Below are 25,964 nucleotides of genomic sequence, written 5' to 3'. Positions count from 1 at the left end.
ACAGAACTAAAGATAATCAACTATTATTTTTTAAATGGCCACTTCTTCATGTTACAGGTGAGAAAACTGAGTTAGCTTTTTTTTTTCATGTTCGTGTGGGCTGGGCGTGGTAGCTCACGCCTGTAATCCCAGCAGTTTGGGAGACCGAGGCAGGTGGATCATCTGAGGTCAGAAGTCCGAGACCAGCCTGGCCAACATAGTGAAACCCCATCTCTACTAAAAATACAAAAATTAGCCAGGCATGATGACACACACCAGTAGTCCCAGCTACTCGGGAAGCTGAGGTGGGAGAATCGCTTGAGTCCTGGGGGCAGAGGTTGCAATGAGCCGAGATTCCGCAAGTGTACTCCAGCTGGGCAACAGAGCAAGACTCCGTTGCAAAAAAAAGAAAAAGATAAAGAAAATAAAACAAGAAAAGAAAAGAAAATGTTTGTTTGATAGCCTAAAAGTCAACTTTATTCCTGTCAGTGGCCAAGATAAGATTAGAATGCAGTTCTCCTATTTTCTCTTCACTTATTCAACATTCTTTATCCATTTAAGCACAACTAATGCATTGCTGTTTGAAATCAGACCATTCCAATGGCAGTCAAAATACCATACCTTTAACAGTGTTTTCATTATCTTTGAACAGAACATTAAATAACTGACAATCATAATCTGAGCTTCTTTTCAGATGAATTATAATGTGTTAAGCTCTATTTCAATAATGATTTATACTACATTTTCTAGTAACTTAGCTTCCTCTAATCTCTGTTTAAAGTTCTGTTCTATATGTATGTTATAGGTTCTAAAATTTGTGATCTAATGAAGTATTTCCCATATCTATCATGTCCAACAATTCAAAAAAAGCCACTGCAAGAGTAAAAGAAGTGATAAATTTAAAAACCAGAATCTTGTATTTATTTCAAGAAAGCTATTTGACAGCATCTAATCTCTAGAAACATGCATAGGACTTAGGGAAATATAACAGCCAACTTTCTATGAAGTATTACAGTTGGAGAATGCTAGGCCATTTTAATCAATTGAAGCATATCATTAGTTACTTATGACCACGAAAAAGCTAGAAGACTTCACTTAAAAAAAGTGACTATCTTCGGTAATGGAAAAATAAGAGCATTTCAAGCGTCTTCCTGGTTGTTCATTTCTATCTGGAACTGTGTTCAGTTTCTCAGACTTCAAGAGAAAAAGTAAACTGGCAGGTGAGGAAGTTTAAGTAGTATGATAGGTTAAAAGCATGGGCTATGTGATCTGAGGATGTCGCTTAGCTTCTGCTTCAGTTGCACATCTATAAAAAAAGGAATCAAGCATGTCAGAAAGAGGCGTGCTCGGAACATGCTTAGTCGTCAAATGTTTGCGAGGGAATTGAAAACCTAACCCCACGGCCCTCCAACCTGTTCCTGGAAGAAGAATTGTGATCTTTATTGACCAACAACCATGACGTCTATTGAGCAGTGAGAGGAGTTACTGTATTAGAAAGTGGCAAGTGTGCTACACAGTCAGTCCCAGCATCTCGGTCTGTGATTCTGAGTAAATCATATTAGCTTAGGCTTGTCCTGTGTTCTAGTCATCTGTGATTTGGGGGGAGAGGAGAGAGAGAGAAGCCATTCTGAATTCCAAAATGAGATAACAGGGCCAAGCTCACTTTTAACAAATAATAATTTGGTCTTTCCTGGCTATGGTTTCTTGTACACAGATCCCTTGGTAGGAACCTTCAACACCCATTTCGGAGGTCTATTACTCAATAAGACACAGTATGGAAAGCAACACAGTGCAGAGCCTGGTACACAAGAAGTTGTGAAGGAATACTAGATAGATGGCTTTGGATTTGTACTTAAACGTTTGTTGTTAAATCAGTTTATATGAGGCTGGGCATCCTGAGCCTTAGGATAAAATGGATCCACACGTTTTAATAGATGTAAGCTCTTTGAAATTCTAATTAGTGTGTCCTACTATTTCAGGTAAATAGAAGCTGTTGGCTGCGCTTTCCCTCGGGGCACAGGTACTGACAGAAAAAGGACTTGGCTTATTGAAACCAGCCCGGCATTAGATGGTAAACTATCTCCCGGGCACTGCTGCCTCCTGTTCAGCAGAAGGCTCTCATGGAAATTGCTTTCTGAATCATTAGCTGTCACCTACCCCCATCTCTCCTCTTGCAGCTGCTCTTTCGGATTCTGCCTGCAAACTTTTCACATTGGGCATGCTCCCAAGCCAAACAAGTTGCCTCTCGGCAGCTTTTGTTCCTGCTGGGAGCTAGAACCAAACCACACAGATAAGCCAAAGTGGGGATGCAGCATGGACTAATACATTTGCTGAAGGAACAGACTTCTCGAAGCCAATGTGACGGATGCCTTCAGAAGTCATTTTCACACTGGTTCACATAAGAGTGTCAGCCAGTCTCCAGAAGCAAATGCTGCTATTTTAAAATTATTTGCCTCTTTAGATTTCTCTAAGGTTCTGATAATCTAAGATGTATCTTTAGATCATGATCTTCCTATTGGCTAGAGACATGCTGGTGATATTTTTGGAAACATACAATTCCAAGAGCATGTCTGGGTCCAGTGAAGCAAAATGAAATAATATATGAAATACAAGAAGCTCATATAGAAGGCCCTTCTCAGGTAACTATCAGCAGCTCGTGAAGTACAACTCAGTCAAACCCAGGCATCCAAAAGGAGAAGGAGACCCAGCCCCAAGCAGTGGAAATCATGGGTATTAGAGTGAATGAAAACAGGCTGGGGATTTAACTGGGCAACTCATGAGAGTAAAATATAGACACTTAACTAATTTGACTTGATCTGCAGAGGTATTATCCAATATTTGTGGGAAAAGTCATCAATCATCATTTTTTTTTTTTTTTGACATGGAGTCTCACTCTGTTGCCCAGGCTGCAGTGCAGTGGCACAATCTCTCAGCTCATGCAGCCTCCACCTCCCAGGTTCCAGCGATTCTTGTGCCTCGGCCTCCTGAGCAGCTTGGATTACTTGTGCATGCCACCATGCCCAGCTAATTTTTTGTATTTTTGTAGAGATGAGGTTTCACCATGTTGGCCAGGCTGGTCTTGAACTCATGACCTCAAGTAATCCTCTCGCCTCGGCCTCCCAAAGTGCTAGGATTACAAGTGTGAGCCACTGTGCCTGGCCCATCAATCATCATTTTTGTTAATTTAGGGATTGATAAAAATTTATTATTGCTATGTCACTAATTAAAGCTTAGCAATCTCAAAACTCTTCTATAAATAATAAAGAGTATAAATGCATTTAAGGTGAAATAAATGAGAAAATTATGCCTTACATTTAAATCATACTTTACAGCTTCTGCTGGTTATATGTATTATATATTAATCAATTGGCAGAGCAAAAGAATACAAGATAGCTTTGTCTCCCTAAGTCTTAACCACTGTGTTATATTCAACTTTATAAAAATTGTATGGCAAACATTTGCTTAATAATTGCCATCTCATTCAGATAGAATGAATAAGCAGAAACTAAGCTTCACCTCTAGTTTTAGCACCTCACCTGGTTGAGCATCTCAAAGTGGAACAGGCACATTCCTGTATGAAAAAGCTAAGGTACAGGAAAAGGAAGGAGTATGTTTTAGTCAAATCCTAATTTCCTACCATGGTTAAATATAATATCAAAAATTAAATAATTTAGAATCTTCGATAGTTATCTTTATCCATATTAAAACCCTAAAGTTGATGATTCCCATTAATCTAAGTTGAGTAGGGAAAGAACCCCATGATCTTATATTTGAAATCAAAATTTTAAAGTGTTTTCTTCAGATTCTGTTTTGCCTGGCTGCAGAGGAAAAAACTAGCTGATCAGCGTGTCCAAAAAAAAAAAAAAGATGAACAATACAATAATGTTTTTCTACGTTTTGAAGCATAAGATATAAAATATATTTCTGGCCAGGTGCGGTGGCTCACTCCTGTAATCCCAGCACTTTGGGAGGCCAAGGTGGGTGGATCACCTGAGGTCAGGAGTTTGAGACCAGCCTGGCCAACATGGTGGAAACCCCATCTCTATTAAAAAAAAAAAAAAAAAAAAATTAGCCAGGCATGGTGGTGGGCACTTATAATCGCAGCTACTTAGGCGGCTGGGGCAGAAGAATCGCTTGAACCCAGGAGTTGGAGGTTGCAGTGAGCCAAGATGGCACCACTGCACTCCAGCCAGGGTGACAGAGTGAGACTCTGTCTCAAAAAATAAAATAAAATAATAAAATAAAATACATTTATTTTAAGATTTCCTTTACTTATGTCTCCATACATAAAGAACCAAAATTAAGTGACATTAGACCAATGAGGCAAGAATTTTCCATTGATTCAAAAAGTAAGATCTGCCTGATGTGTCAATGTCAGGCTCAACCAGAAAATTAGAGTGCTGTGATCACTTGCTATGCAGCGGGGCCATAAAGATTGATTTTGTTTACAAACATACTCATATGTAATAATTTATCCACTGCTTCCTGTGTCACATCCCATATGTTCCCTCATTTAATCCCTACCAAATTAACTCTGTGAGGTATGTTGAATCAATCCATTCTCTAGATTTGGAAACCGGGACTGGAAGTGCAGTATGTCCAAAATCACAACGCACCATGGCTCCGAATACCTCCAGGCCTACATCCTGGAAGTGTGTGAGAGTCATTTCTCCTATTATCTGAGCCTTTAATCTTCTCCTAAGGTCAGTTTCAACCTTACTTCTCAGCTCTACTGACTTCTGCTATCCACTGAAAAGTGTTTCTGGCACTCTAGGGAACTTAACTATTCTTGGCAGAGTACTTGACATGTAGTGAGCTCTTAGCCAATATTTGTTAGATGAATGAATGAATAAACATAGAAGATAATATTAAAATTGACACTTAATGGAAGGGGAAACAGGCATCAAGAGGTTAAGAAACTTTCTCCAAGGATACACAACTAGTAAGTGATGGAGCTGGGATTCAAATTCTAAAGCACATGGGATCAGCCATCAGGATGTCAAATTTATCTTCATTAGAACAGAATACGTCCAACCTAAATACCTCACCAGACTCTTAAGTAACACGAAGGAGGAACTGGGTACCTAATACAGTTTATTCCCTATGTCGTCCTACAAGGCGATAGGCAAAAATTCTCGTGTAAAAATGAACTGAAGGCTTAAGCTTTCCCTGCTGTATTCCCTCCTGAACTTTGAGTCATTCCTGTGATGAAGTCCTTGTCTAGCTCACAGAATGACCTTGAGCAAGAAGCTTTCCTTTACAGCCTTTGTTTCCTCTTCTGTAAAATACTGTTGACAGGACTTGTTTTACCTGACTCACAGAGATGCATTTAGAAAGCACTTTGGAAAGTACAAAGCTTTCATTAAAAGCAAGCAAATATTTTAAATGTCGTTGTTATATGACTGCTTAAAAAGGACCTTTTATATGGTGAAAAGAAACCTTAGCTTATCAATTGTGCAGCTAAACCATACAAAATTTAAGGCAGGATGGTATTGGTGCAATAATAATTCCAAATTGATCCCTTTAATGAAGAGGTAAAGAATAGTCAAAACTTCTTTCTGTACTATTTTGATTTACTATGGAGGGAGCCCCTTAAGGAGTTATGAAAATATAGATATGAGCCTCAAATCCTAGTTTCCAATGTGACATTTTTTTCTGAACTTCATCTGCCAGTCTTGCTATCAATTCAGTTGCAATGTAATATATTACTACATTTCATTTCTAGGCAAGAACATTATTTACTCACAGGAGAAATACTTTCCTGAGGAAAGATTGTCTTTGGGAACTTTCAAGGACATTTGAGAAATGCTTTAGCCCAAGCCACAAAATTATGAGCATTTGTTTGTGCCTCTGCATTCCCAGGGAACCATTTTTAAAACTCTTTCATTTAAGTTTATTACAAACATCCATCTTCTCTTTCCAAAAAAAAAAAAAAAAAAGCAATTAACAAAACTTCATTGATTTCCAGTTTTCCTAGGTGCTATTTTATAATACATATATTTCAATCAATTTGCATCATCATTTTTGCCTCTTCCAACATTTTTGTCTCCCCATCTAAATTTTATTTAACCTTATATGAAAAGTTTTATCACTTACAATTTACTTAAGTAAATCTACAGTCAACATTCACCATTATTTAATTACATTTATTTTTCTCAATCTATATCTAATTTAGCAAACTGAGCAACAATACCATATAACTACAATATATAATATTTATATAGACGCTAAATGCTGGGTATAGTCCTAACCTCTTACCAAATTCTCACCCAAATCTATAATGAAGGTATTATCAACATTATCAATGGACAGTTGAGAAAACTGAGGTACAAAGACTTTAAGTAACTTGCCTGAGGTCACACAACTAGTGACTGGCATGGCTGGGATTCTTCTGAATAGAATCGCTAGGCAGTATCTGCACCTCCTCCTCCCAATAAAAAGGAAACATCTATATCTGAATTTTGAAAACTCCTAAGGGTTACTTAACAGTGATTGTTTTGAATCCATCTCAACCTGCAACATTTTCTGCCCCCACCCAGCCACCATTTCAGTTTCTTAGAAACATTTTTTTCTTCTTACATATCAGGATTGAGAATAGTATAGACACATAGTAGGTTCTGAATGAAAAAAAAATGAATTAATAAAGTTTTACCTCTGCTATGATCTGAATGCTTGTGTCTCCCCAAGATTTATATGTCGAAATCGAATCACCAGTCCAATAGGTAGGGTCTTTAGGAGGTAATTAGATAATCAGGGCAGAGTTCTCATGAATGGGATTAGTGTCCTTATAAGAGGACTGAGGCAGCTTGTTCCCCCCTTCCACCATGTGAGGACACATAGAAGGTGCCCAAGATGCCGAGAGCCCTCACCAGACACTGAATCTGCTGGCACCTTGATTGTGGACTTCCCAGCCTCTAGAACTCTAAGAAATGAATTTCTGTTGTTTATAAATTACTTAGTCAAAGGTATCCCTTTATTGCTCATTTCAGTGACTCCCCCTATACTGCCACTACTTGCTTAATGCATTCCTCTGGTCTCAGTTCAAATAGCACTTAGAAAAGTCTTTCTTGGAACTCCTGATAATGTTGGTTCTCCTTTCACTTGCTTTTATGGCATCACATATTTATTTTATATTTTACATTTGTGTGACTGTTTCATTAATGTCTGAATCGGTCCTTCCTGTGGGTACCTTTAGTACCATCAAGCTTTCCAAAACAGAAGATTCATGACTACATGAGCTCTGTCTGTTTTGCCCATTATTGTATCTTTAGTGTCTGACACACAGTAGCCTTCAGGAAATTTGCTGAATGCACAAAAACAGGACTTTGTAAGAACAAATAAATATGTAACCAGATCAATGATTTTGGTTGGCTGCAACATCAACAAAGATAGTGCCTTGTTGAAAGTTTACTCTGAGTCTACTCCCAGAATTCTTCCCAAACTGAGTTCTTATTTGTTGTCTATACCACTGATTAGAACAGACAGAAAACAATCAAACTCTGACTTTGCCATTATCCACATAGGCTGAAGCTCATGGGCTAGGAAAGAAAAGATGGATTAAGCATAATATTTCTTCTTGGAACTACACATAGAACTCAGTCTTTGGTTAAAAAAAATTTACTGTTATTATGTTTGGGTGAAAGGTAAAATAGAGTATCAAGCCCATTAGTTGTGATACTGAATTCTGTTGTCCCATTTTCACATTCATTTCCATGAATTTAGATGCCTTTTGGTCAGCATCACCTAAGCATTTATACCACCTTGATGAATAGTGAAAGTCAATGAATACATAGAAAGAAAGTTTCTGTATTTTGCAAAGAACATATTAGCATGAGCTTGAAAATGTAACATGCAGGTTCATTGGTATGCATAGAACCAAGCGATTTTTGTTAAAGTAAGAAATTTGATGACAGTATGAAAAGATGAACGTTGAGAATGTGCTTCCCATTTTAAAATCAAGAATTTAGAAATATTGTAAGGATTCACATTTATTTATATCTGCCATCCAAGTGACCGTAAAAACTCAATATTTATACATGAGATTTTAAAAGCCCATCATCTCCAAGGTACAACATGGGATAAAACAAAAACATAGCAGAGCACAACAGCAACGACAACCACCAAAAACTGTTATTTTGGCTCTTTTTAATTGTGAAATGATTGTTGTATACAGAGGGGTAAAAATAAAACTTTCAAAAGAATTGCACTCTGAAAAGTATTTGTAAATATGGATGACTATTTTATATAAGATTCATCACAAAATCATAAAAGCGTGACTCTTTATTACATATGTTTAAGAATACATTTATAATGCTGAATAAGGACCATGCAGTCCTGGAGCAATAAGGACCTGGAGCAGTAAGTCCTAAGTAAGGAATATTTAGTCCTGGAGCAATAAGGAATAAGTCTTGAAGCAAATGCATACATCAGCTTCAGTCTCAATACATGCAGAATTTTCTTTTTGTCCTCTTGAGTTCCTGTCAAAAATATCGGCCTAGCTGTTATAACCAAATAATGTTGTGCAAAGAACGATAGGGGCCACACTGGTCTTGAATAGAGATGGGGAGGATTGAGGGAAATTTTCTTTGCTCTCTAAAATTTTGAAGTCAACTTTATTGAACATCCACTAAATGAAAAACATGGCAAAATACTAGAAAACTGAAAAAAATTGTTAATAAATACTTTATGTCTTCAAGAGACTGGTATCATAGACATATCAAAATGTGAAAATAGGGCCGGGCACGGTGGCTCACACCTGTAATCTCAGTACTTTGGGAGGCCGAGGCAGGTGGATCATGAGGTCTGGAGTTTGAGACCAGCCTGACCAACATGGTGAAACCCCATCTCTACTAAAAATACAAAAATTAGCCAGGCGTGCTGGTGCATTCCTGTAATCCCAGCTACTCAGGAGGCTGAGGCAGGAGAATCACTTGAACCCGGGAGGCAGAGGTTGCAGTGAGCCAAGACAGTGCCATTCACTCCAGCCTGGGAGACAAAGCAAGACTCGGTCTCAAAAAAAAACACCTAAATAGCTATCATGAAAGCTATTGTGAAAATAGCTAAAACAATGAAGAATATTTTAATATCATTTTAGAGAGCATAAAATGAAGTAAGTTATTTTTAGAATATATGACTGTGGAAGCAATATAACCATCACTACTAAAGATTGACAACTTTATTTTTAGTAGTTGAAGAACTTCATTGAAGCAACTTATGAACCTACTAATGGTTTATTGATTAATTGACATGTTGATCCTGGAAAGAATAGCATTTTCTAAAGTACTTGAAGGCAAAGGAGGATTCAGTCCTGTGAATAACATGAAGGAATTTTCTAGGCAGAGAAATGGGGATACTTTGGAACAGAAAAGGAGAAAACAATTCGTACCACAGGTAATTAAATGTAGTTCAGGTGAATGGATGTTCAGTGTGTGAAAGAAATAAATGAGGAGTTATAATGGGAGGGAGTTTTTAAAGACAGGAGTATGTAGTATCCTGAATACCAAGAGAAAAAATGATATTTTATCTGGCAGACTGTTTTTGAGAAGGCATGGCACGCCAAGAAGGCCAAGGTCACAGATTGTTGGTCAAAGTTATGAACTCTATCATTCTGTCTGGTTGTCTATCTATCTATTGCATCAAGCTGATCAGAAGTAGGGTTAGGTGGAAAACTGAGTGGTTGCAAACAACCCATACCTACTTTTGCTACTAAAACTGTGCGTACTCTAAAACTTGAACAGAACAACCTCTGGCCGGACTAGAAACATCACTTTATGAATAAAGAATGAAACCAAAAGGTTTATTATAACTAGACCCAGAAATGAGGAGGTCTGCAAATAGTCAGAAATTCAGTATTACTGGAAAGTTAAGAACTTCGTAACCAAGAACTAGAAAAAGATAAGAATAGAGTACATCAAATTGGCAAAGTTCCCTGGTAAGTATTTTCACATAACGGATTTCTTGTCATCCAAGTGTTCATTATTCACATCCTCACAATTTTAAATTGCCCCAAAATTCCAACTTTTCTAAGTTGGTAACCTACCCATTTAGTTTTAGTTGATTACTCATTGATGAATGCAAGATATGAACATCATACCACACAAAAGAAATAAAATGCAAATAAGTGCAATGTGAAATCCTAAATTTTGCAGATTGGATATCATCTAGCTACCCATTTACACTGATAAAGCCAATGAAAATAATATCAGAAATCTTCCAGAATAAATACACGAAGCCATTGCTAAATGGGGATCTGGCAAAGACATATAGCTACATATATTAAAAGATAAATGGACACAATAGGAGTTACAAGATATATTTCTTTGAGTATCAAATGATTAGGAGAGGGCTTAGGAAAACTGATGAACTCCTTCAGTGAATTTTTACCAGAAGAATCCTGTTTGATTTGAACTGCTAATGTTGAATATTCAGTGGAGGGAAGGGAATAATGCTATAATCCAATTTTGTTGGAATAATCACTCAAAACAACATGTAATTGTTTTTTAAATTATTACAATTGTGCATAAGTGCTATTTAGCTTGAATTTATGAAACACAACAGAAAATGTGGTTTTATTCACTTAATAACAACCTATTTTGACATAAATTTCAAATCACAATTTATTCTAAAAAATTATTTTAAATCAATCTTTGATCACTATTTATAACTTATTTTAGCATTTTTTCTAGGTAGAATTTGTCTATGATTAATAAAAATTTCTTAAGTGGGATTTTTTAAATCCAGAGATCAGATCTATGTCCAATAAGTGAACTCTTAAAAGTTAAAATTTTCTAACTGTAAAAAAGACATTGAAGTTAAAGCTTCCTAACAGAAAAGCATTCCAACCATAGAATCAGCTGATCTGTATGGCATCGAACATTCTGTTATCAAAATATTCATCCACAGCCAAATGAGAGGATAGCACGGATATAGTGAAGATTTCTATATTGGAAATTGGATGAGCTTGTTGGTGGGCCTCCCTCCAACTGCTAAGATTTCAATGGCACAGCTGAAAGTAGGACAGCATTTCCCAAAGTTGCTAGAAACAAGTTTCCTTTAAAACGTTCCACCAACAAAGGTTTGCATAGCCAAATGAAGTTTAAAAATTCTTCACACCAACACCTACTTCACATGAAAATTCACAGGGCATATTATAGCTCATTCTACATCTTAGAAGTCCTGTAGTGAAGAAACATATTTAATTTTATCTAATGCAGCATTTCCCAAACATATTTCACTAATTATAAAATTCTTTTTTATTACTTTCCTTTACTTGATATCAATTAATGTCCTGTGGGAGCATAGGTGATATTCAAAATACTTAATAACCTTAAGAAGAAAGCACTAAACAATCAGATGGCTGTCTGATAAAACTAGTGTTCTTTGGAACATGGTTGGGAGAGGGAGAATCTGGCTTAACACTGAGATCTTATTTAGTAACCAAGTGTAATCAATCTTCAAAGCCAACTTAATTACCGAATCATTTTTCTTACAGTCGATGGACTTGAATGTGGCTGACACGATGCAAATCATTTTGAAAACGTCTAATGCATATGATTATCATATGTTCTTAGCTTCATATCAATTCCACTAAGCCTAAATTAATCTCTCTTTTAAGAATGATATTTTTTAACTTTGGAAGATTTACTCTTCGCTTAAATAAAACTAAAAACAATTTTTGAAACTAAACAAAAAAGTTTTAAAACATAAATGAATGGAAATAAGCAAGAGCTAAAGTAGAAGTTTTCATTAGCCATGAAAAATCCCTTCTTAAATCCGATTTGAAAAATAAATAGCAAAGATGGGTTATTTGGTTACTTTCCCTAGTGGCTACCACTTGTCTTGTAGTACAAACATTTACTGAGATGACTTTTTCCAGTTTCCTGCTTCTGTAATTTTATTATATAATAACTTCTGAAACATGCATATGTGTATTTGCATATATACACAGAAAACTCTGATGGACACATAAGAAACTAATAACAGTTGTCAAGGGGTAAGGGCTCTTAAACTGGTTGGATGAAGGAACATAAGTCCCAGAAGAAATTTCTACTATTTATCTTTTTATATTACATGATTTTCAAATTCTCATTAGGTATTCTAAAAAGTAAATAAGCAAAAGAAGGATTCTTTTAAGGGAATGGCAAAAGAAAATGTGGTTATATATTTTGGCCAAATAAAGGCTGAGGGAGAATTTAATAATAGTATTAAGTAGGCCAAGAAACATGAAGAAAAAATTATTTGAATGTGGCAAAAAAAAGTGCCAGATTATAGAAGGTACTTTCTCATAAGCAGAGAAATAAATCTGCCCTCTTTCCTGTTGTTTTTGGTTAAGGATGATTAGAAGCTCCTATGAGGGGGCTAATGCCCACATCAAGTTAATTGCTCATGTCTTGATACCAAATACTAGAAATCAACCAGGGCCCAGGAAAAAAATAGTGGTAGGTTGCAGTTGCTATTACAGTGCTTGGTAGATACAAATATTTGTACTGGATTGGTGGTTTCTAGTGGATGACTTAATTTATTGCAATATAGAACTCTGTTAGATGGGACAGTGCTCCTCCATGACTAAGAAATCAATCTTTCTCAATCTTCACTTGTCACCATCTGCAAACATTGCTCTTCTTTGTCACAGATTACCCATCTTCAACTGTGTCCTAGAGAATGAGATGCTTTGGTTTCCTCTTCCTGGGCAGAGAACAATCCTTTGTTTGTTAAGAGGTGGGTTCTTGCTATGTTGCCCAGAACATTCTCGAATTTCTGGCCTCAAGCAATTCTCTTGCCTCAGCCTCCATGTAGCCAGGCCTACATGTGTACAAACTAAAGAGAACACTGAGCCCAACTAAAGAGAACACTCCTTTTATAGGCTCACTGTATTTAGGTGGAGGTCATGATTTTGCATTCTGGCCAAAAGGCTATATGTCCTCCACTTCCAGACTTGGCCAGGAAACCTTGCACACTGCCTGTGTCCCCTTCTGTTTTAACTCAGGAGGCTGTGTATTTAAGACACCAACATTCCAAGATGGAAGAGACATGGGTTCCTGATTGACTACTTGAAGGTGATCTGTTAAGAAATAATTGCCTGAACTACATTTGCCTCCACCATGTGAAATAAACATTTATTAAGTCATACCACCTGGATTTAAGGAGGGTTTGTTACAGTATCTAGCATTGAATACCCTAATTCATTGCTACATTGGCACACTGGTGATACCTATGGATTAGTGATGAGTCTACTCAATGTGAGACCTCTCCATTTCTCATTGTCCATTTACCCTATCTACTAAATATTAATTTTCACATACTACTTATTGATGATGATGCCAGTTTTTAATTATCCCATGTACCTCTTGATTTTTTTCCTTCAGCCCAACTCCCCAATGAGGAAGCTGACATCATGTATCTTATATAGATAAAATCCTATATAAGGATTTAATATAGAATTTTTATATATGGAGGATCAGTCCATTGAGGAATCATATCTAGAAAGGCTCTCAATTAGACATAAATTTGCCCCCTAAAGTCTGTATTAGGTCAGTTCTTGAAAACTACTTTTTCTATTCTATAAATCTAAATTTTTACATAAAAATTTACTATTTTCCTTAATTTATATATCATGGATAGAAAACAAGATTTTTCTTGTGTCCCAATTGAAATCAAACAGGAATACGTGATTTATATTGTGCAGAAGGATCCTGATATCGAGTCTAGACCCAAAGGGAAAGAATGTCATGATAGACTGGGGTAATTACTGTAATGAACATGGGAAGGAAAAGTAGTGGCATATTTCCCTGACTTAAATCATTTCTTTTTTATATACAGTGGAAATCTCAGTACTTTTAGTTAATTTCTGTCCTGCAAGACACCAACAATTGGACCAACAATTGATCCACCCATCTAACTAACATTTCTGAGATCTTAATCTGAGTCAAGGAATATGCTGTCTGCTGGAAAGATAGTGAAAAATAAGGTCTCAGGTCTGTCCTGAAGGAGTTTATAGGGGAAGATTTAACTTACTCCAATTAGTAATTGACACCAGATAATTAGAAAGGCAAATGGGTGGTTTGCTTTATTATACACGTGAGGGATAGAAGGCAGAGAGAAAAACATCTTCAAAGAGTTGGACAGTTTTACTATTATTGATTTTGGAGTAACCACCAATCAAAGGGCAGGCTTAGTAGTAATAAATGATCACCTCCTTAGATGACTACAAGAGTTGGATGCAAAAGTTTGCCCTAACCTCTCAGTTCTATTTTCATTTTATGAAGAGACAGGTAAATCAGACGTCATGTTCTTGTATGTCCATAACAGGGGTAATTTAATAATTCTAGTAAACTACCTGCTGAGCTAAACCTAGGGTCATAAGTTTTTGAATTCATGAAAGGATTTAATGACTTATGCAACTTTCTTTCCTGGACATACGTGCAACATGGATGATGAATGGTACTGAATTATAATATATGATGTCGATCATGAATTTAAAGTCTCTAAGAAATGGGGAGAAAAAATTGCAAAAGGGCATTCTTGACTTACCTAGCCAGAAATCCATCTCTAACTCCCAAAGCATTCACTTCAGCAGTCAGACCACAAGACATATCTTTAATCTCTGCAAAATCTAGTTCTTGCTAGTTCTAATAGGAACGTGATCTTAACAGACATCTCATGTTTCTCATACAGTGTGGCTGAGAAATTTTATGGGATAGAGTCAACAAAAAAGACTGGTCTTTTTATATAGTATTCTTTGTGTCTGATTACTCTTGCCATAGTCTTAGTGTCCTCATAAAAGGACACTTCAAGGACTCTGTGCGAGGACAGGTACAGTGAATTTTAGCAGTCAGAGTGGACCAGTGGATAATCACCTGTGAAAAGGCAAGCAAATAGGGGAGTTATTTCTGGTGTTGGCATCACCACAATGAATGACCTTGACTGAGTCATGTAGCCTCTCTGAACCTCAGTTTTTTCATCTGCGAAATGAGGGAAAAACACATCTGCCCTTTCAGGGCACTCTCTCAGGATTGCCGGAGAATTAAACAGATCATTGCTGCAAGCTTAAGTGCATTGAGTCCATGAGACGAAAAGAAAAGAAGACATCATCTAAGTACACAGTATTCTTTTCATCATTATTAATTTTCAAAGGTGAAGATAACTGTGAAAGAACCGCGTAAGCAGATTGTTGTCTTGGAAACAAAATAAAGGCTCAACCGGCATTCCTACATTAGAAAGAGAGCTGCCACCTTGGTATCTACTTTTCACATCTACTCAAAGACAGAAAGGACCCAGACATTCTTTCCACTTTCTCAAGATTCTGTAGCTGGAATATTTTCTTGCTTGCTTTGTCTTTTTATTTTCTTTGTCTTCTTTAACAAAACGATATTAGCTATTTTTTTAGTTTTGTTATTGCATAGTTTAGCGTATGTACAGTATATGTAATCTTCTTTCCTACTGGCTAATAGTAAGGGAGTAAGGGAGGGAAAGCAGAGAGGGAAAGAGAGATCAATACATTAAGAATAACCCCACATGGCTAAAAGAAACTGACTTCTAAAGACAAAGCAATTTTATAATCTAAAATACTATGTAATACAAATAAACTTAAAAGTGTGCTTGCCCTGAAGAAGGTTGAATGAAGAGGACTGTTGTGGTTTTCTAAATAATGTCCTATATTTCCCTACTTCAATGAGACATTTGTTTCTAAAAGAACTTATCTCTCAGAAATGATAAAATCAATAATTTTTCTCTCTCCGTGGTTCCTTAAAACAAAAATGGCCTTATTTCTTTTCATTCTTCTTTCTACCTCCACTCTTTATCATGGCCAAACTAGGGGAAAGTAGCATTGTGTAATTACTTAGAAATAAGTAGAGATCACTTCATGATTTATGATTTTCAGGTTCCTGATACGAAAAATGTGAATTTGGACCCAATAATCTCTAGCTTTTTCTTTAGTTTTAACTATAGTTCTTTGATTTTAGACCTTGCTGTTAAAGCACCGCTTCTTGCCAATAATTTTGAACTAGAGATCAGACTGTTACTTATCTTGTTCAGCATAACCCTTTAATGATCACGTCTCCACGGTACTTTTTCAAACCATTTTCATCTCATGTACTTTTTACAGTTGAAATCCTAACTTTACAGTAGGTTCACCTGTGAAGGTGAGAGACAGGAACGATGAAGAATTTCCCCTTTTTACTTTGTATTTTTATTTTTTCAAGAATTTAGTATTTTTTAACTAAAAAACAGGCCAAGCATAGTGGCTCATGCCTGTATTTCTAGCACATTGAAAGGCTGAGGTGGGTGCATCGCTTGAGCCCAGGAGTTCAAGACAGCCTGGGCAACACGGCAAGACACTGTATCTAAAATAATAATAAAAGAATACATCTCAAGAAATGTACCCATCTTTAGTTTACTTTTCATACTATTGATTATAAAAAAATGCATTAAGGGAATATTGGGAGGTGTTGAATTTGTCTATTACCTTGATTGTGGTGATGGTATAATGGGTGTTCGCATATGTCCAAATTCATCAGATTGCACATGCTAAATATGTGCAGTTCTTTGTATATCAATTATACCTAAGTAAGGATGTTAAAAACTGCATCAAGGTAAAAATTTAATTTATATTTAGAGAAACTTTTTTTTCAACCCTGGAGATACTTTCAAATTTAATTCTTTGTACAGCAGCTAAAAACATAAGAAAAATGCTGGTATGGTATAAATGAGACACACTGTATATTATACTCCTTGAAAATGCTTCATGCATATATGGGTTCAAGAGGCAGCTGGGAGATCAGAGCCTTCTGAACATCCTCAGTGCATGATAGGACCCATTTGTCTAAGTCTATGTGATCTAAGATGTAATATTCATTTCTATTCCCTTCAATTATTTTAAATGCCCCCAGTCTGGAAAGAGAGAATTGGAGGTTGAAGAAGGACATCAAACTGAATAAGAATAAAATTTTTAAGTCAAATTGTTCTTATAAGATAGAAGCCAAAAATCTGAGTATAATATTATTTCACAGAATTTTGAAGAATATTAAAAATAATGTGATAGGATGTTTCAAAAATAATGGCATAATCCCCCCTCCTGCAACCTCATCCCTGGGCCACCCACTTCAGCACTGACTTAGCTTCAGCATGTAACTTGTTCCAGCTGCCCAGTGAGATAACAGCAAAGGAGCTTGACCTGTCTTGCTGCTGTTGGAACCCAGCAGCCTGTCAGATCCTAACGATATTATACATGAATCAAGTGCCCCCATTGCCCAAGTCAACCATGAAAGATGTAAGTGAGGCGTCATCTGACAAGATCTCACCCTGCTGATTCATCAGCTAACTGAAACTGTATGAATTATTCCAGGAGAAACCAGGAGAAAAATGTTCCCAGTTGAACCCACCCCAAATTGTCAAGTGATTGCTATCTTAAGCCAAATAAAGGTGAGGTGGCTTATAATGCAACAAAAGCTAACTTACACAAAATCAATATGGCCACTTAGGTTTATCCCTCAGAATGCAAGTTCAGTTCAATATCAGAAAATCATGACTATGATTGACTACATTAGTTAAATCAAGGAAGAAAATCATACCATCATTTCATTAGATATAGGGGATAAGAACCACCCAATGAAGCTCAAAACTTTTTGGGCAGGAAACATTTTATAAATATAGATCCAGATAAGAATTATCTTTTTTTGACCAAGGCCATATACCAAAATTATGTATATGTGTAACACTAATTAAAATTACCATGCTAATATTTTTAAAAATCTTATTACTTCCCTGAAGGAGAGAAACAAAATAAAGGTTTTCAAAATTACTGTCTCTGTTTAACATTATCTATTGGAATTGGCCAACAGAAGACGGAGAGGGAGAGAGAAAGAGGAAGGGATAAGGTTTCAAAGAATATAGATTGAAATGTCATTTTATAGATGTTTTGATCATTCATTTATTTGGAAACCCAAGAAAATAAGCTATTAAATCTGATTTTAAAAAAGTCTTAACATGGTGGCTAGACAAAAGATCAATATACTAAAATCAATAGTATTTTCCAATAGCATCAATAACCAGATAGAATATAAGATACACTTGTAATATCAACAAAAACTATAGAGAATACAGAGCTTCATATAACAAATGGTACAGAAAATCTTCCTAGCAAAAACTTTAACTCTGTATGAAAGGACACATGAGTAAAGGAAATACACACTAGTTAAGGATGAGACAACGTAACACTAATAATATCAATCTCCTTATATTAATCTATAAGTTAAATGCAATTCCAATACAAATCCAACCTTTTTTTAAGGACAGCGTGAAAAAGCGATTTTGAAATTAATTCTGGAAGAATGAAGTTCTCCAGACAACTAAGGCAGTTTGGGAAAGCAAAACCAAGACGGAGAACTTGCCCTGCCGGATATTAAGATATATTAGGAGCCAAGTGTGATAGCTTGTGCCTCTAATCCCAGCGATTTGGGCAGCCGGGACAGGAGAATTGAGGCCAAGAGTTGAAGAGCAGCCTGGGCAACATAGCAAGACCCAGTCTCTACAGAAAAAATACACAAATTATCCAAGGAGGGTGCTATGTGCCTGTAGTTCTAATTATTTGGGAGACTGAAGGTGGAGGATAACTTGAGCTCAGGAGGTAAAGGCTGCAGTGAACCAAGATGGCATCACTGCACTACAGCCTGGGCAACAGACTGAGACCTCATCTCAAAAGAAAAAAAAAACACACATAAGGAAGTCATGATGATTAAAAACATTGTGGTCCTGTTGTGAGAAATGGAAAATGCAACTAAACAGATGGTCTAGAAATAGAACTATATAAAGATAGGAAGTACACAAAAGAGGTAGCATCATAGTCCTGTTGAGAACGTTGAATTACCAACTTTGGGGAAAGAGGTTCATTATATAAAGAGACACAGAGCTGAATCCTAACCTAACGATACAACTTATATTGCACTGTCTTATATAGCTTGCTGAATTTTCACAAAGAAATCCTATGAGACACAAACTAGTATCCTACTTTACAGGTGAGAAAACTGAAGCATGAGAGTAGAATGACTAACCTAAGAAGTATGTGGCAGAACTGAGACTTAAACCCATACAGTTTTTCCTCAGAGATCATTCTACTAAATACTATAAATACAATCCTGCACAGTGTCTGAAACTAAAATTCAATTAGTTTAATATCTAAATGTCAAAGACAAAATTTAGAGAGAATAAAAAACTACAAACAAATATCTTTGTGATTTCAGAGTAAGGAATAAAATAGATTTTTTTAAAAAAACAAATAAAAGCATATATTGTATAAGCAAAATGGATGAATTTGGCTACATTAAAATTATAGATTTATGTACAACAAATGGAGCCAAAGTCAGATTTAAAAAGAAGTGACACGTAGACGATATATACAACATTAAAAAATCAATAATGGATTTATATCTGAACATAAACGAACACCTACAAATCTAAATGAAAACACATAACATTTATTAGAAAAATGAGCACAGGTCATGGATGAGCAATTCACAGATGGGAAAATAGAAATGGCAATATTGTATATGAAGACTCAACCTCATTAGCATCACAAAAATGTGGAATTAAAACAAAAATTACATGTGAATTTCTATATGCCAGATTTCCAAGAGTTAAAATGTGAACTAATATTATTTGTTGGTTAAGGATACGGTTAAAGAGAAACTGCTAGTGAGAGATAAATGGTGAAGCTATTCTGGGGAATAATTCGTGAATTAAAGTACGTATACAACTTCTACCTTAGCCATTCTATATCTGAGTATAAACCAGAGAGAAACTGCCTGTTCCTAGAGGGGACATGTAAAAAGAGTTGATAATTGCTTTATAATGGAAGTGAAATGTTGAGAACAGCCTACGTTCTCATCACTAGGGTAATGGATAAGTAAAACTTGGTATTAACTTATGTGAAAATGTGAGATGGTGTCAGAAGCAATAAATTAAGTTCATATGCAGCAACAGAGATGTATTTTAAAACTATAATTATATCATGAAAAATTAAGACCTAGGATGTGATTTGTAGTCACTACTATTTTGTACAAATTAGGAATCACAAAACAATCCAGGCAGTTTTTCAAAAATCCATACAAATAAATATTAGAGATGAGTTGGGAGATTGCATGTGAAGTGACTCAAAGAATGCAATAATGCTACATAGGAGAGAAAAAAGGAATTAAGCTGGCACAGGAATGGGAAGACCAAAAAAAAAAAACCCTATAAAATATTGGGAAATAGATGGATCATATACATTGTTGATAGGGTAATATTAATAAGGTATATGGTCCAATTTGTCTAAGTATCCTAAAAACAAAATAAAGATGCACAATGTGTTAAGACTTATAAGCATTATAAATATATCATCATTGTTCTCATGTCACCCATGCAAAGAAAGCAAATAGAAATCAGCTTTTAAGATAGAGGCTGGTTTTTAATTGTTTTAGAATCATTAGTTAGCATGCCAAGTAAATAATAGTCCATCTGTATCCAAAACATATAAAAAGTTCTAACCCTTAAAATTCCATTCTCTAGAGTAGGGGTGTGTGTGTGTGTGTGTGTGTGTGTGTGTGTAGGAGTCTGTTTGTGATCGTGTTGTTTAATAAACTCAAGGGTACATACTATACCTTACTACACTCTTAACGACTCTTGAGCAAGTCAAATTGAAGGTCAAGAATAAACAAGTAGACACTGCTTGGATGACACTCCAAATTATCTTAATAGTCTGCAGATCTGGCTAGACAATTATGTTTTGCTTTCAGAAATAATATATTTTTGTTTTCTTATAAAAGTCTTTGAAAGACTAAATCTTAGAAGCATTTGTAATTAATAGACTACAGGACACAATAGTAATTTAAGAGATAATAGAACAAGTTTATTCAGGTGTCTGGGGCAAGTTGACTCTTAGTTCTAAACGTTAAACTTATTTAACTTGGATTTTCTGTAACTCAAATTTTTATCTATAAAATGGAGGAATATACTTCAATAACATTAAAAATCTATAAATTTGGGCTTTGGGTTCCAAATTCTTTCTCCAAATGATAAAAAGGTTTAACCCAGACATTGTGGTTGCCTAAAATTTTTCATTTTCTGTATTCATACACAATCTTCCAGCTTGCAATTTGGATAGCTGTCATTTTAAAAAATTGTGCAAAAAGCTAATGCTTTTTTGCCAGAAGACAAAACAAATTTCTGTGGACCTGAAGTAATACAAGGCAATGCCATGTATTAGAAGTATGTGCTTCACGGTAGACATTAATCCGGAGGTTAGGTTAGGAACAGGGTGGTCTGGTTGAAGTGAATAAATTATTTCAAATGTACATATAACATTAACTCACTTCGTAATAAAGTCTTTGTCTTTTCATATAAAAATTAGGTTTTTTTCTCAGTTTAAGCTCAAGGAAATCCCCATACATCTTATCTTCATAGGGCAAATAAAAAAAAGTTCTTAAGACAGACAAGTTCTTATCAAACATGTAGAAAATTAAAAACATACAAAAATGTATAGTCAAGGAGAGTTCAACAAATAGAAACTTAAGAGGACTTCACTGATATTATGATGCTTAGAAAAATACATTATTCCTAAATAAAAAGATAAATGGAAGCAAAAAAGATTAAAGCTAAAATAAAAATTTAAAAATAACAAAAATACTAGTCAACACAAAGTTAAAAACTCATTAATCTTGGTGTATTACCAAAGGCCTCAAAAAGATTTCACATATATTACAAATCAAAACAAAACAAAGAAAAAAATGAAAAGATTTCTCTCTTCAAATTATTCTACATATTTTTTTTTTTTTTTTTTTTTTTTTTTTTTTTTAGACGGAGTCTTGCTCTGTCACCAGGCTGGCCAGGCTGGAGTGCAATGGTGCAATCTCGGCTCACTGCAACCTCCACCTATCGGGTTCCAGCGATTCTCCTGCCTCAGCCTCCTGAGTAGCTGGGACTACAGGCACGCACCACCACGCTCAGCTAATTTTTGTACTTTTAGTAGAGATGGGGTTTCACCGTGTTGGCCAGGACGGTCTTGATCTCTTGACCTCATGATCCACCCACCTTGGCCTCCCAAAGTACTGGGATTACAGGCGTGAGCCACTGCGCCCAGCCTACATAAATCTTCTTATTGCTAAACTGGTAGGAAGAAAAACTCTTTTTAAGCAACCAAATTATATCTATTAATATTTGTACTTCTCAGATGGATCTTGTTGTATAATATGTATGATTAAAATAACTTGTCTGTTAATTATTCATATTTTGGCATCTGTCATTAACTCTTATTTAATTACATTGTCACCCCTGGCTAACTCCTAAATAAAAACAAATGTAAATGTAATATACATCCAATCATTAATTTTAGAGCTCTAAGAGTTAGGAAAACTCAACCTGGAGAATAAACTAAATGAAGAAAACTATTTTCCAGTTTTTTAAATGAGGGGTTATTCAATCTGAGTAGAGCAGGCATCACAAAAATGCAAACAAAATGATCTGTGCCAGGTTCTAATGCCAGAAATACTGTGAATGTTGCACTGGATCTTGTAAAAATAGCCACAGCCTGGTGCTTGCAGGGCTAGGTCGTGGTGTGTTAAACAATAATACCTAGCCCTGATGGACCTTATTTGGGCCAAAAAGCTTTCACCTGCATTATTCTTTTAACCTCACTGCATTGTTATGGGAAATGTGTTTATTTTTTGAAATGACATTCAAATATATCCTTAAAAGAACCCTTTCGGTCTCTCTATAAGCTTCTTCTCTCTTTCAGCCAACACATTCCCTTTTAAAAATCAATAGTAGACTTCTCTTTCTGTATATCATCGCATTTCAAATCTGATGTAGCTAACAGATGTTAATATAATTTTTTTCAAGAATACTCTCCTTCTGAATATCTTTGCCCTCATCTTTATCCTGCCTATTCAGGGCAAAGGTTATCTTTCCTTTTTTTATATAATAATATCAAGATTATGTATTTTGTTCAATTTTAGTTTTAAGTGGTGTCTAAGTGCATAAATTAACGTCTGTGCAAAGAATAGCTTGTATTATTCGCCAGATGGTTGGATTATTTATTGTGCTTTTAAAACAACTGATTTCACGCCCTCCAGTCAGTCCAAATATACAGAAACTGAAGTTTAGAGTGATGTGGCTTTTCTGCAACACTTTCCAGGCTGCTGTTCACATGTCAGCCCCTTGTTTTATTCTTAAATTGTTGTTCAATCTATAAAATCTCTCTTAAAGGTCCCCAAACTGCTTGTAATTTGATCTTTTACTTTTGAGGACACATTGTTCCCAAATTGCCATCTCTAAACATATTCCCCTTTTAGTAGACTTCCAGATTATCTTAACTAATAATTTCCTTACTTTTCACCTTTATTTTGGGATTCTTGAATTAGCTGTTATATCTGTATCCATTATTGCTCCAATTATTTTGTTTTGCCTTTTTCCTGGAAGTAAGTTAAAGCTATTTTTGACAAAGACGTATTTGACTTCTGTAAAGATACTGACTTGAGAATTTTAGAAATGGGTTTATGTCACACACACACCTCTAATTAAATGTGTGACCTTGGATAAAAGCCCCTTAACTTTTCAGATGTTCTCTTTGCTCACCTCTGAAGTTGATTAAAAGTATGAACATCTTGATGTTTAGGCTTTTTAGTCTTAGTTTGGTCAATGAAACTGTCAAAAGTCCATCATATTGTCTTTATTTTTATCATTAGTCAGTTTGTCTAAAATAAATTACAGTTTATGAAGCCAGAGATTTTCTTTTTCTCTGGCATCCAATCACTGTAAACATTTCTCATGGACCTATTTTAAGAAGGCCTATGAGTAACTTGACCTTTTACGACTTCCCATTTTGTTGTCTTAACAACCTGGTTTCCCCATAACTTTCAGAGAAAACTTTTCACCTTTTCCTGCCTCTCCTTTTGACCTCTAGAGAACTTAGCACTTTCAAAAGACATCACACTAATACTATTATTATCACATGCCCTCCAAAAATCCTCAACCTATTTATGCTTATTAAGTTAATATTTTATCAAAAGTTGTCCAATTAAGTATTTTATGCCCAGCTCTTTGTCAGATATTTTACATGCCCTGTAATAAAAAGCTGACAGATTCATTAAGAATTAATTTCCTAGTACATTTTCACTTTGATACTTTCCTCATTAATGAGTCATCAATTGGGTCTTCCCTATAGAAATAGATAAAACTAAGTGAGAAAAGATATGTAAAAGAACTAGCACAGTATCAGGGATATAACAAGCATTCAATGGATGATAGCTATTATTCTTATTATGATCATTATCACCTTAGCTCATGTGTTTTCCGACTTCATTACTGGACTCAACTCTTACCTCTATTTCTTATTAGATCCTCACAGCAACACTTGAGGAAGCTAGATTTTGCCCCTATTTTACTGATTGCAATATGGAAACCTAGAGCATTTAAGTAAATTGATGGAAGTCAAGAGTCAAGAACCCAGCCTGAATTTGTCACAACCACTTGCCCATACTCTACTGTGGCAATACCACCAGTCATGCACCCAGCTTCACCAAGGTCTTATCAGTGCTCCAGTGCTCTTTTCTTTTCTTTCTTCATTTTTTTTTTTTGTTTTTTTGAGATAGAATCTCATACTGCTGCCCTGTAGTGCAGAGGTGCAATCATAGCTCCTGGGCTCAAGTGATCTTCCTGCCTTCGCCTCCAGAGTAGCTGGGAGGTTGGTACCACCACACCTGGTACCCCTCCAAAAAAAATAGCCAAAATAGGTAACCTCAGCCAACCTATTTTTGGGAGGTATCTTTTTCTTGACACTGTCATCCTTGGCCCCCAATTTAAGTTCACTTTTATTTTCCTAGTCTTGGTGAAGAGAGTAGAAGGTGGAAATTGAGGTTAAAGGAGGGAACTCTGATGTTATTCAAATATTGACTTTATCTTAACTTCCAGCCTCTGCCTGTTCCATTTCTGCTCAGTCACACACAGAACATTCACTGTTTCTACCACGTGCTCTGCCCTGCCTTTTTTTTTTTTTTTTTGTCTTTGTGCCATTGCTTTATCTCTATTTGGAATGACACTCTTTCGTCCTTGGTCTCTCACCAATCCCTACTTCATAGTCATCATTAAAACCCAAATTTTCCTTTCACGCCCAATTCAAATGCCAGTTCTACCCTGAAGCTTTCTGGGTCTGCCAAATAAGCACTAACTACTTGTCTCTCTCTGTTTCTGTAATGGCCATCACATGAGAACGACAAGTGATTTTACAGCTGACAATATATATCCTATCAGCCCTTTCGAATTCTTTCTCCATCCAGCTCTGTGCCCTGGATGTCTCGCATGGCCTAACTTGATGGATGTCCTTGCCTTCTAGCTTCTCACTGGGTTCACCAATGGAGAACACCCATGGGAGATGAGAGAAAAGGTGAAAGAAGAGTGAGGTCAGGTGTTTATTCCTTTGGTTTCCTCCCTGCCAAGTTGCTGAGTGATGGATGGCGGCATCCCTCAACTTAAGGCCACAGCCTCTATGGGGAGGCCCCCACTCTCCAGCAGTGCCTTTCTTCTCCTTCCCTGCTAGACCAAGAGTGATAAAAGTGGCCAAGCTTTTGCTGACCCACTAATGCTACACTATCTCTGTTTCCCTACATCCTGCTCAAATTGCCCTTTTCAGAGTACCACAGATTTCCTGCTGAAACCTTGTTTGATGAACTTCTTAATACATTTCTTCTAAGCTGCTAATTTTACAAACCACATTATTACCTTTATGTGAAATGTGTCTTCAGGATGAGTTAATACATTCTGAACGATGATAATGGTAACAGCTAGCATTTATTGAACACGTACTGTGTTTCAGGCACTCTCCTGAATGCACTAATCTAATGTAATTATCCCAATAAGCTAAGCAAGACACAAAAATGGTGAGAAGGTACCAGGAGTAACTTGCTCAAGGTCACTCTAATGGCTGAGTGGAGTTTAAGAGTCAGGTCTGCTCCAAG

The 25,964-nt window shown here is 35.9% G+C and overlaps 1 protein-coding gene across 7 annotated transcripts in view, besides 1 other annotated feature; it reads right to left on the bottom strand.

The window, feature by feature from the left end:
• Positions 1 to 25,964, bottom strand: part of GRM7 (glutamate metabotropic receptor 7) — an 880,419-nt gene that overhangs the window by 818,121 nt on the left and 36,334 nt on the right. The gene's annotated exons all lie outside the window — the stretch shown is intronic.
• Positions 2,783 to 2,984: a silencer, noted in NCBI's record as "fragment chr3:6962116-6962317 (GRCh37/hg19 assembly coordinates)". NCBI's record gives its function as "represses an EF-1alpha promoter that drives an FKBP-Casp9 reporter gene in an ReSE screen in HepG2 liver carcinoma cells {active_cell/tissue: HepG2}" and the evidence as "EXISTENCE:reporter gene assay evidence [ECO:0000049][PMID:32094911]".

This window comes from Homo sapiens, chromosome 3, assembly GCF_000001405.40.
Source record: "Homo sapiens chromosome 3, GRCh38.p14 Primary Assembly".
NCBI lineage: Eukaryota > Metazoa > Chordata > Mammalia > Primates > Hominidae > Homo > Homo sapiens.
Note: the sequence above shows the minus strand (reverse complement) of the source record. Positions and strands in the feature narration are given on the sequence as shown.